At 42.8% G+C, this 12,537-nt stretch overlaps 1 protein-coding gene across 17 annotated transcripts in view, besides 1 other annotated feature; it reads left to right on the top strand.

The window, feature by feature from the left end:
- Positions 1-12,537, top strand: part of HECW1 (HECT, C2 and WW domain containing E3 ubiquitin protein ligase 1) — a 453,355-nt gene that overhangs the window by 189,130 nt on the left and 251,688 nt on the right. For all 17 annotated transcript variants that reach the window (NM_015052.5, XM_017011883.3, NM_001287059.2 and 14 more), the window contains one exon: positions 9,987-10,311. In NM_015052.5, the coding sequence (NP_055867.3) occupies positions 9,987-10,311 (325 nt within the window). The remainder of the gene's footprint in view (positions 1-9,986; positions 10,312-12,537) is intronic.
- Positions 2,450-2,950: an enhancer, noted in NCBI's record as "H3K27ac hESC enhancer chr7:43343825-43344325 (GRCh37/hg19 assembly coordinates)". NCBI's record gives its function as "activates a minimal SCP1, AML or CMV promoter by ChIP-STARR-seq in primed H9 embryonic stem cells {active_cell/tissue: H9 hESC(primed)}" and the evidence as "EXISTENCE:reporter gene assay evidence [ECO:0000049][PMID:30033119]".

Here is a 12,537-nt window from a genome sequence, read left to right on the forward strand (position 1 = left end):
AAGCAGGAGAATCTCTTGAACCCGGGAGGCAGAGGTTACAGTGAGCTGGGATCGCACCATTTCCTTCCAGCCTAGGCAACAAGAGTGGAAACTCTGTCAAAAAAAAAAAAAAAAGAAGCAGGAGAATAAAACCAAAGACAGGATTTACTTAAAAATAAACCCAAAGATGCTGGGTCAAACCACCCAGGGGATATAAGAATTTAAAAGAGAGCATCTTTACAGCACCTTGATCCTCCATGACAAATGATAACATGCTTTTGAGTATTAATTTCAATGAGGATACAAACTCAGCACTGCATCTGAAACCCTCCTAAGTGTATTTCTTAGAACTGTAATCCCTGTCTGGCCCCATCACCTAATAGCAGGCAAATGAGGACACGACCATGAATGGAGGAGGGAAACACACTGGCTTACAACAGCCTGAGGCTCCTCAGGCTTCTCAACAAGCCTGAGGCTCCCTCCCAAGCCAGGCAGCTCAGGCCATGGATGAGGCAGCTAACTGGCCGCAGGGAGTCTCAAGGTCCACTTGGGGCCCTGCTGCTCCCCTGCTGCGTGGTCAGGGCAGGCAGCTGCCCTTCTCAGGCTTCAGCTTCCCGGTGAATAAGAGGAGGGGCTGGCCCAGAACCCTCCCATGACTGTCACTGTGGGTTCCTGTGTGATTCACAGTATTGTGGGTTGGCTTTTGGAGACTGGACTGTAGCCAAGCAGGTGGTGGTGCCCTGGTTACGGGAAGAGGCACAGTGACCCCACTCAGCACAGCACAAGCCCTGCTGGGCTCAGGATGGAGTGAGGCTGAGGTCATCATGGGGGCTCCTCACAAATGCCCGGTACGGGGCCGCCCCGGGAGGATGATGTGGCTGGCTCACAGCAGCTCCACCTCCCTTTCTCTCCTGTATGGTCCGCAGGGCTCCTGGAGCTGGGCGCCTTGGGCCCCTGGAGCCGCACTGTGGTTCTGGGAGGTGAACACATATCCTTTTCCTCTGCAGGTATCAGTAGGTAAAGAGGAAACTTTTCCACTTTCAATCAGGCTAGTGCCTTCCTGAGGAAGAAACAGTATTTCCTAACATTGAGAAGGGAAAAATGGGTCTCTTTCTCACATCTGTAAGTTCCCATTCATTCTGTCTCTGTGTCTTACACACACACCACACACACCCACACACGTGCACACACACATGCGCGCACACACACACACAGGAATACCAGTTCTCACCTTTCCTTTCTGTGTAAACCAGAGGAGGTGCTAAATATTATGAACAGGAATTTGCCCCAGCTAACCTGACGAGGCCCTCCTGGCTGCCACCTTCCTCCCTCTCCCACACCCACAGCCCCCTGCCCATTCCTCTGCCCATACAAACCACCCAGATTTCAGCAACTTCGCTGCTGAACGCCTCCAAACATAAACCTCCCAAATAACCCAGAGCTGCACCAAGCAGTCCTAGACTTGAGCAAAGCAGTGAATGGTCCAATCATGCCCCTCCTGGAGCCTGGCCTCCAGCTGGTTTCTCTTACGTGTGAGTGAGAATGGTGTGCGAGCGACAAGGAGCAAAGACCACCCCACCCCCCGCCCCCCAACACCTGCCATCAAAGGGCTGCAGAGTCAAAAGTGGGAGGGGATGTTCAACCTTACACTTATTGGTGGATTTTTTTTTATGAGCGATAAGGCATTATGTGTTCCTAAAATAATGTGTCTGACTGGCATTTTAACAAGTTCCTTGTATTTTAAATCATGACTTCCTGTGTGGATATTATCTGGCTTGGCTTGATTTGCTTATTAAAATTTTCTCCCCCTAATGTTCCCTTTCAGCCAGCAATGAGTGGGATTTTATTTCTTTTTCAAAGAAAAGAAGCCCACACAATTTAGTTTATGTAATTCTGTGATATTCTTCCACACAATGGCCAGCACAAAAGAAAGCTTTTTTAGCACATGGCTTTGAGGCTGAAAGCACAAATTGAGGCACAGGTTTCAGGAACAGGTGTCTGGGAGCTGAAGAGTTAGACAGAGATGGTGGTTTAGCAGCCACCTCCCACTCTCCTCCCTTACACCTGAGAGCCCCTACACCCGCCCCTGTCCCACAACATCCCTCATACACAGCAGTTCCCAAGCAGAGGTACAAATGGGTAAGCAGGACTCAAATCTCAGGATGTGAGAGGGAGAGGAGGACCCAGGGGCAGTATTTAATCTCATCCCAACACTTTCTTCTTATTTGACAGGTGATGAAGGCAATTCCCAGAGAGGTGGAGCCCTTCTTTTTAGCCTAACGAATTGTTTCCCTTAACAGTCGTGACTCAGAGGAAATGCGTGGGCTGCAGTGATTTTTGTGATCTCTTGTGCCTGCCATTGGGTTGGGTAGGAGGTTTCTGCTTTTAGACTGTTAGGACCAGCAGGGCCCAGCAGCAAGTAGAGCTCTGGATAAAGCTGCCCTGGCCTGTCTCCAAACCCTCCAACCCAGGCCATCCCCACTTCTCCTGTACTGCCTCAGGGATTCCCGGTGCTTCTGCTGGTCCTGCATCCGGACACCTGACCCATCCCAGTGCAGTCCAGGAACCAGGAACTCAATTCGAGCAATTCTGGGCACCAAGCCTAGTGCTTACAAGAATTCCTGAGCTCAAGGAGCAGAGCCCCATGTCCAGGTGCACCCCAGCCCACACGTTACCCACAAGTGCATTCATTCATTCAACACAGTTATTTATTTATTTATTTATTTATTTATTTATTTATTTATTTATTTATCGATATGGAGTCTCACTCTGTCACCCAGGCTGGAGTGCAGTGGCGCAATCTTAGCTCACTGCAGCCTCCACCTCCCTGGTTCAAGCGATTCTCCTGATTCAGCCTCCTGGGATAGCTGGGATTACAGACACGTGTCACCACACATGGCTAATTTTTTTGTATTTTTAGTAGAGACGGGGTTTCACCATGTTAGCCAGGCTGGTCTCAAACTCCTGGCCTCAGGTGATATGCCCGCCTTGGCCTCCCAAAGTGTTGGGATTACAGGCGTGAGCCATAGCACCCAGCCTCAACAAAGTATTTACTGAGCATCATCTATGTTCTTGCCAGGCACTACTTTTGCTGGAAATGCAGACCTAAAGGAGCTAGGCTGGGCTGCTGTCTTGGTGCCTGCCTTCTAAGTAGAGGGGACTGACAAAAAATAAGTTGACAGGTAAGGCAGTTTTAGACAGAACATCTCATTCAGGCTCTGATCGAAATCTCCATTGAGGCCAGAGAGGAAGCTGCGGGACTGAGAACAGTCACTGAGTTCAGAGTGGAAGCTTTGGGGTAAAGCTTCCCCTAGAAGTGACTGAGCCAGGTAGACTTTGGAATGTGGTCGGAAGGCAACACAGCACAGTCGCTCAGTCCCTAATGAACTCTCTTCCTGCGATGACCTTGGCTTTTGTCAAAGCCTTGTACCAGGAATCTGCCACTATAATCGTGATTAAAAGTCTCTTAAGATCTTACTCACCACATTTCATTGTGTTTCCTACAGAAAGTCTAAGATGAAACATTTCGTTAAGAACTTGGAGGAAGAAAAAAGTCCCTGTATTCTGATCATAAGAACTAAGCTTTCCTTTTATCTTCTTGGCTGCCGAGAAGCTCAGAGAAGTATCTGAATCTCAATTACTGCAATTCTGTCCATCTGTTTTATAATTTGGAGAGAATGCTTAAGAATGATAAAAGTGCCCTCTTATAATCGCCCATAAACAGGCTCAAATCCCCATTTCCTGCCACACGATGGATGACCTCAGAATTTTTATTAACATTCTGAGCTGGGTTTTCTAGCAACCTGAGAATAGTGAAACTGGATAGTGTTTTGTTGTTGTTGTTGTTGTTGTTGTTGTTTGTTGTTTGGGGGGGACAGAGTCTCATTCTGTCACAGAGTACAGTGCATGATCTCGGCTCACTGCAACCTCCACCTCCCGGGTTCAAGCGATTCTCCCTGCCACAGCTTCAGCAGCTGCGATTACAGGCGCCCGTCACCACGCCCAGCTAATTTTTTTTTTTTGAGACGGAGTTTCGCTCTTGTTGCCCAGGCTGGAGTTCAATGGCACGATCTCGGCTCACTGCAACCTCTGCCTCCTGGGTTCAAGTGATTCTCCTGCCTCAGCCTCCCAAGTAGCTGGGATTACAGGCATGTGCCACCACGCCTGGCTAATTTTGTATTTTTAGTAGAGACGGGGTTTCTCCATGTTGGTCAAGCTGGTCTCGAACTCCCAACCTCAGATGATCCGCCCACCTCAGCCTCCCAAAGTGCCAGCATTACAGGTGTGAGCCACCCTGCCCAGCCTAATTTTGTGTATTTGTAGTAGAGACGAGGTTTCGCCATGTTGCCCAAGCTGGTCTTGAACTACTGACTTCAGGTAATCCACCCACCTCAGCCTCCCAAAGTGCTGGGATTACAGGCATAAGCCACCATGTCTGGCCTTGATAATGTTTTAATGAGATGTACAACAGTCCGCTGCATAGAGCAAATGCTCAGAACTATTTTTGTCTTCCTTCATATTGCTACTTCCTGATTTCTGTCTGTTTTGTATTTTCCTATTTTATTATACATTTCTTGGTTTGTAAATTTTCTCAAATCCTTTGTAGAAAAAGATAAGCTTTGATTTTTTTTTTTTTTAAATCCCATTACCCACCTGGTGGCGTAACAAAGCCGAGTGTAGGATAGCAAAAGCTGCAGGCATCTTCTTGATCAAAGTAAAATCTGCTCATGGACTAAAAAAGTATTACGTTCTTTCTTCCAACTAAGTAATGCCAGTTTCTATAACCTCATCTTATATACTTTAATGAAGCTTCCTTCAAGGGCTGTGTATTTCGCTTACAATTTTTGATTCCTTGGTGTAGAGGCCATTTTTAAGAGTCATTTTCTCTATTATAGACATGCCTTTGTCTGCTTTCTTTTCATTTCTGAGATGGCACTCACTCACGGCTTTATATTCCAAGACAGAAATGCTATTAATGACTTAGTTAGATAAAAACTGACAGAGCAGAATCTTTTGTCTCCAGGTTCTTAAAAAAAAAATCCATGCATAATAACATGTTCCATCCCTAGAAGTGATGATTTTCTGCTTTTAAGATTCTGTTTTTTTACAGGTTTTGTTTTTGTTAATGTGCTATACTCCATGAGACTATCTTAAAACATATTAAACCCACAAGGCCTATTCCAAGATTAAGAAAAAAAGAAAAACAACAAAGAGCACATCACTTAATTCAAAACATTTCAACAATTACGATGTCATTTAAGTTGGAAAGCAAAACAAATAAACAAAACATTGGTGGCTCTTCTGCTACAAATAGGAAAAAAAACCAAAAACAAAAAAACCAGCAGATGGTTTTTACTCCCATAGCAGGGCACTTTGTACAGTGTATTTAAATTGCTCTCAGAGGCTCACTTATCAGACCCATTTTTTCAAGCGTCAACTAAAATCTATGCTTGACATAGCCCGTAACTAGGGCCACGTGATTACAACCAATAACTGGAAAATTACAGTGTTATTGAAACTATTGCTGATATTCTTGTGGTCCTCCTATCAGTTCATATTGTCTATCACCAAAGGGAAAAGAAGACAAAAGATACTTGAGTTATTAGTGGGTTGGAGAAAAGGCTGGGAGAAATTTAGTGATATCCGTTGATTTCCCATACATACAGAGATTGGGAGGGCCACCCTTTGCAGAGAGGAAAGAGAAAGGAGGTCTCCTGTTGGGGAGATCTGCTTTAGAGGTTAGGAAGAATGGTGGAGTTGTAAGACATTGGAATCACTGTCTAGGAAGACAGTGGCCTTTTATCCAGGGCTATTTAAAAACAGGACAGAGCTTCATCTATCTCCCACAGTTCAGATGTGAAGAGAGAATGATTAAATTGCTTCTTCCAGACTGATGAGTCTATAGTATATGCTAGAAACACTTGTGAATGTCTGGGAGAAACATAGCCACAAACGAATTGCATGTTGAGCAATCAGCTCTATCCACCTGCTGTGTTCAAGAAGCAACTGTTGACATTTGCTCAAATGTGCTCACCACAAACCAAAACAAAATAAAATAAAAATGGGGTAAATAGGTGAGGGATGGATGTGCTAGCTAACTTGATTGTGGTAATCATTTCACTATATATATATATATATATACACATATATATATATATATATACACACACACATATAGTGAAATGTATTATTATATATTATATATACTGTATATCTTATATATTATAGAACATATAATATATAATATATAATATACAGTATATATAATATATTATATATTATATTGTATTATATATAATACAACATATAATATATAAATATAATATATTATATATTATATATGTTATATATAATATAACATATAATATATTTATATATAATATATTATATTATATATTATATATTTATATATAATATATTTTTATATATTATAATATATTTATATATATTTTTATATATTATGATATATTTTTATATAATAATATATAATATATATATATTATATGATATATTTATATATTATATGATATATTTATATATATTATATGATATATTTATATATTATATGATATATTTATATATATTATATGATATATTTATATATAATATAACATATAATATATTTATATATATATAAAATCTTCACATTGTACACCTTAAAAGTCATACAATTTTATTTGTCAATTATACCTCAATAAAGCTGGGAAATTAAAAATAAAAAGGAGCAACTGTTGTGAGTCTTTAATAAAACATCTGTTTAGGACATGATGGAATACAATTTTAAGTTCATCTCCTTCCTACATAACTTTGTGTTCATATCTTTATTTTCTTCTATGTACCATCTACTACTAAATTATCATGCCTTTCTGTAATTTTTTTTTTTTTTTGAGACGGGGTCTCGCTCTTGTTGCCCAGGAGTGCAGTGGCACAATCTTGGCTCACTGCAACCTCCGCCTCCTGGGTTCCAGCAATTCTCCTGCCTCAACCTCCCAAGTAGCTGGGATTACAGGCACCTGCCAACACGCCCGGCTAATTTTTGTACTTTTAGTAGAGACGGGGCTTCGCCACGTTGGCCAGGCTGGTCTTGAACTCCTGACCTCAAGTGATCCACCTGCCTCAGCCTCCCAAAGTGCTGGGATTACAGGCCTGAACCACCACTCCCAGCCATTTTATCTATTTTTATAAGCCATCTTAAACCCTTTCTGGAACAAGAAGGGATATCACTGAATAAAATAATTTCTATAAATTAAAGCTTTGGGGGCTTTTCATGGCAGGAATTATGCCAGGTACAGGGGATATACAGAGGAGAAAACTTCACAGTGTAGGAGTGAACATGGACAGATCAACTAGCAACAGTACCTAAGAATCCCTGCAGGGGAATGGGATTCCTGTGCATCATGGAGCAGAAAGTTCCACTCTTGGGAATGGGAAGGAGGCAAGGAGCGGTTACAGCAGAGTTGGTGCTGGAGCATAATTCTGATGCAGAAGTGCAGATCCTGCCTGCAAGTAGGAATGGGGAGGATGTGTGCAAAGACAGGGTGGTGGGAGAGGGTGGGGTGCAAGGGACGGCTTTGAGGCTGCCCTGCTTACCCCGGACAAATGTCATCGTTCCAATCCAGTAATCACTGACAAACGTCTTCTTTGACTAATGTTTCCTTCTCTATCTTTGCTCTCACCATGTGGACAGTGATCACTGGCGTAATTTGACAGTTTCAGGAGAGTTCTCTAGTTTCCAGGGGATTTTGGTAAAAATACAATAGCAGAATTGTCTTCAGCAAAAGAGAAAGACCCTACAATCCTTTTGAGGCCCTGATTGAAACCACGTACATAAAAATCTTTATCTTAGGCTCTTCATCATGAATGCAAATATATCCTACTCAATCGTAAACCTTACAAATAAAGGAGCCTCTCCCCTGAGCACCAGTATATAGAGCACCTTTACAAACACACTAGGCTGTGTAACCCTTGGCACTTTGATTTTGTAAGAAAACCTGAAGGTTTCTTGAATTTAATGCAAGTTCATAAGAGTGAGGACTCTGGGGTGACATGAAGGAAGCCTGTTCAGTGACGGAGCCTGGCTGAGTGCCCAGGCCCTATGTCTCAGTGAGGTTTCCTTCCTAAAGCATTACCAGTAATATCTTAGCAAGAGATTTTTATTTATTGAGCAGGTACTGTACTAAGAACTTGACTTGCATTGTCTCATTAAATTCTGACAACAGCCCATTTACAGAGGAGGAAACCGAGGTCCAGAAAGATTAAATTGTCCAGTGATAGACCCACAGCTGGGAAGCTGGTAGATGCTGCCTCAGCTTTGATTATGGTCTAATTCATAATTATTTTGAATCTCTGTAATACTGTAAGATGGTATTAGCCCACTTAAAGTATGTGGGAACTAAACAAACCTTGTGCTCTTGCAGCAGCCTTTCTGTTTGGGGATTTTACAAAGGTCTCTGGACAGAGCCTCCTGGAGGGCTGTCAGTTTACTGAGATCCTCCCTGAACTGCCCAGAATAGCCATGGTGCCTTGAGATAGGTGGGTGGTTCCTGCTTCCCTGGCCTTCAGCGCTTTGCCAGTCTTCCTGAGAGGAGGGATGGTTTCCAGGCAACACCATGGTCCATCTATTTTCATACTGCTATAGTGACAAGCATTTTGAAAAAATAAGAAATATGGCCCCAATAAGGTGATGAGATGCTTTTTGGAGTCTGTCTTGTCTGCCTGTCATAATTCTGCAGCAACCATCAGTAGGGCCAAAGGAATTCCAAACAGGAGACACAGATGAGTGAAAGGGCCTGCCTGCCCCATGGCCATAGAGGACCAAGACTCAGAATGCCAACGCTGTGCTTTCTCAGGCTAATAGACTTTTTACAACATCCTGGTCTTGGAGGATGGAAAAAGTGCAGGCCTAAATTACTGCTAACTAGATTGATCTAACTGAAAGAGTAGACTATTGCTGTGGTCTGCTCATCATAGCTGGTAAACAAAAAGTCAATAATTTGCATTTGATTAGGTGCATAAGAAGTTACAGTTCCTGGGATCTAAACTTCATGAGTCAACACTTTTTTAGGCCTTAATCTTCTCTTCTTGAAAACTACATATAGAACAACATGAACTTCAATAACCAGGACCCCCCAAAAATGTTCATTTAAACGCAATTTTAATATACTTTGATGAAGTCAGAATCACCCTTGCTTGTTTCTGCATGAGTTCTATTTGCTGCCTGTCCTTCTGTATTTTCAAAGTTATCTGTGCCCAAAACGAGTTAGTGCTCTGCATCAGGTTGGCTCATTTTAAGTGCTCAAAGTTGTAAACAATACAAAAATGCATTTTTTCTCATCAGGTACAATGTTTTCTACAATAACATTGGCTCCAAGGGAGATACAGTCCTCTGAGATTGGATTTTATTGAAAATCATCGTATTCAAAGAGTACTAGGATGTTTGAAATCCTTCATAGAAACTTCATACAGCCCGAAGGCATTCTGTAGAGTGAAAGATGTAAATGGAGGAGTGACTGCCTCACCCAGCAGGGACCACTCCTAATTCTGGGCTGTGTGTAGGGACCTGAATGCTGCAGGGATCACTCAGAGGTTAATAATGATAATCATCGTTTGCCTTAAAGAAGGATAAAATCAGATCCAATCTAATTGACGTTGGAGAACTCGAGGGATGGCATTTGGTTGGGGAATAGTCACACCTTCAGGGTCATTCTGCACATCCCAGTCCTTCTGGTATCAAGTGGGTTAGAGCCGGGAGAGGCAGAGACTCCAACAAAACATGGAAACGCAGGACACCCTGGTGCACTTGTGTTTTTGTTCTTGCTGTCCCCGTGTGAACCCAGAGCTGCAGCCTTTGTCACGAGGAAGATGCTCTATGCCATGTTTCATATCTGCCCAGCAGGGCAGCTCACTCACAGCGCGTGTCTCCCAGCACATCTTTCGTTTTCGTGTGATGACGGTGACTGAGTTGCCGGCGTGCCCTGACCCTGCTCACTGTCTCTTTGCTCCCACAGAATCTGTACCAGAACAGGTTTTTAGGCCTGGCCGCCATGGCGTCTCCTTCTAGAAACTCCCAGAGCCGACGCCGGTGCAAGGAGCCGCTCCGATACAGCTACAACCCCGACCAGTTCCACAACATGGACCTCAGGGGCGGCCCCCACGATGGCGTCACCATTCCCCGCTCCACCAGCGACACTGACCTGGTCACCTCGGACAGCCGCTCCACGCTCATGGTCAGCAGCTCCTACTATTCCATCGGGCACTCTCAGGACCTGGTCATCCACTGGGACATAAAGGAGGAAGTGGACGCTGGGGACTGGATTGGCATGTACCTCATTGGTGAGTAGAATGTGCCAAGTGTATTATTCATAATTCACTTTTACATATGCTGTCACATTTTAATAAACTCTACAATATAATTAAAATATACAAGCAACTGTGTTATATGCCAGATTCTAACACACTGAAGACCACTGTTGCATGACCTTGTTTTTCTGCAAAATGGACAATAAGGTCTCTCTTGCCATCTCCATTCCATGGAAGAAAATCATGAGATATAGCAGAGTCAGGTGTGGTTAAACACAAATGTCATTATCATTTGCAACTATAGAAGCTCTTCTACTTGTGAATAAGTTAATATCAAAGCCTGTTTTTAAGTCTATGTGCTTATAAGACAAAGTAACACCATATGCCCAACCAATGTATGTAGAGGTAATTTCACTTTAGTTTCCAGCATAATCTTTGCCAGCTCTTCCAACATTCTTACTGCTTTGTATTCAACAGACAAGCTGGGATTATACTCACAGGCATACAGGCATGGTGTTGGAGAAAGTTGACTTGCCTTACTTTAGGTGGAGATTTATTCAAAATTTTGAAAGTTCCAAAGTTGAAAGTTTACTAGAAGAAATTGTTCTATGTGAATTTTCTCAGGTCTTTGCAAACAAAACAAATTATGCAAATAAGTTGGATGCTGAGGCAATTATTTTTATGAAAGTTTCACCATTCCCACGGATTGGTTTTGAAAATCTTATAATTATGAAAACCAATTTAAATGAAAAATGTATTTCATCTATTTTATGTGATAGAATCAGCTGTCATGGAAATTGATGTGTTTACCCAAAAGTCGAGTTATAATTGCTGGAAGGCCACAAGAGTCAACAGATTCAACACCGGGTCATCCGAGGCCAGGCCTTCTGCCTTCAGTCTGTGCTCTGCAACATTTGCACATTCAGACACACAACACCGGATTTAACATCACAGAAAGTAATGGATTGTTATGAGTAGTTTACAACCTGCACAGTTTTTCTGATAAAATAAAAGGGATCTTAGCTGACTAACTAGTTCTCAGGGAAATATTCTTGGGTCTCTTAAAGGTTTTTCCATCAGCTTGGTTAGTGCGTTTATAATACACACATTAATGTAAAGATGGAGGTACATAAATTGTTGAAATTTTTACACAAATAGCTGTGACTAGCTGAACTGGATTTCCAAAAGTTAAAATTCAATTTATTTCTGAAAAAAAATTGTTCTTGAATAAAAGTAGATACTATAGATTAAGAACAGAGATTGCAAAATAACAGCCTAAAGAGCATTTTTTTTTTTTTTTGAGATGGAGTTTTGCTCTTGTTGCACAGGCTGGAGTTCAGTGGTGCGATCTCAGCTCACCGCAACCTCTGCCTCCCGGGTTCAAGTGATTCTCCTGCCTCAGCCTCCCAAGTAGCTGGGATTACAGGCATGTGCCACCACGCCTGGCTAGTTTTGTATTTTTAGTACAGACAGGGTTTCTCCATGTTGGTCAGGCTGGTCTCGAACTCCCGACCTCAGGTGATCCACCTGCCTTGGCTTCCCATAGTGCTGGGATTACAGGTGTGAGCCACTGCCCTCGGCCGCATATTTTGTTTCATTTACATTGTTTTGTTTTAAATTTGATTGATTATCCACACTTAAAATGTAGAAGTTTCAAGTTGAAACACAACTTTCTAGCTTCTTTCACAAAAGCCTCCAATTTGGCAGCCTGAGCCTGTGATACCACATGGTTCTAATCAGCTGGAGTTAAGCGTCTGCACCCTCCCTAGACTGGCCTGTAACCTTCAGTGTTGCCACAGTCCCCTCCCACCCATTCGGACCTTCATCATGAGTGTCTTTTGTTTAGCACTTGAGGCAATTAGGTTTAGGCTCCGAATCTAGGGTTTTGGTTTGATTTGGTTTGGTTTTGGTTTTGGTTTTGGTTTGTTTTTTGGTTTGGTTTTTTATTGAAATGGAGTCTCACTATATTGCCCAGGCTCAAACTCCAGGGCTCAAGTGATCCTTCAGCCTCAGCCTCCCAAAATGCTGAGATTACAGGCATGAGCCACCATGCCCAGCCCAGATCTAGTTTTGAGTCAACTCAAGGGCATCTTCCCGCAGCTGGTGAGTGCTGATGTTATTCCTCAAGTTAGGTACCCACTGGAAGAGAAGCCTGTTTGGGGAGAAGGTAATGAGCTCAAGATGGAATTACTGAGTGTGGAACACCTGAGGGACGTGCGTCCACAGTGAGTGAATGAATGAATGGTTCTGAAGCTCAAC

Source organism: Homo sapiens, chromosome 7, assembly GCF_000001405.40.
Source record: "Homo sapiens chromosome 7, GRCh38.p14 Primary Assembly".
NCBI classification, from domain to species: Eukaryota; Metazoa; Chordata; class Mammalia; order Primates; family Hominidae; genus Homo; species Homo sapiens.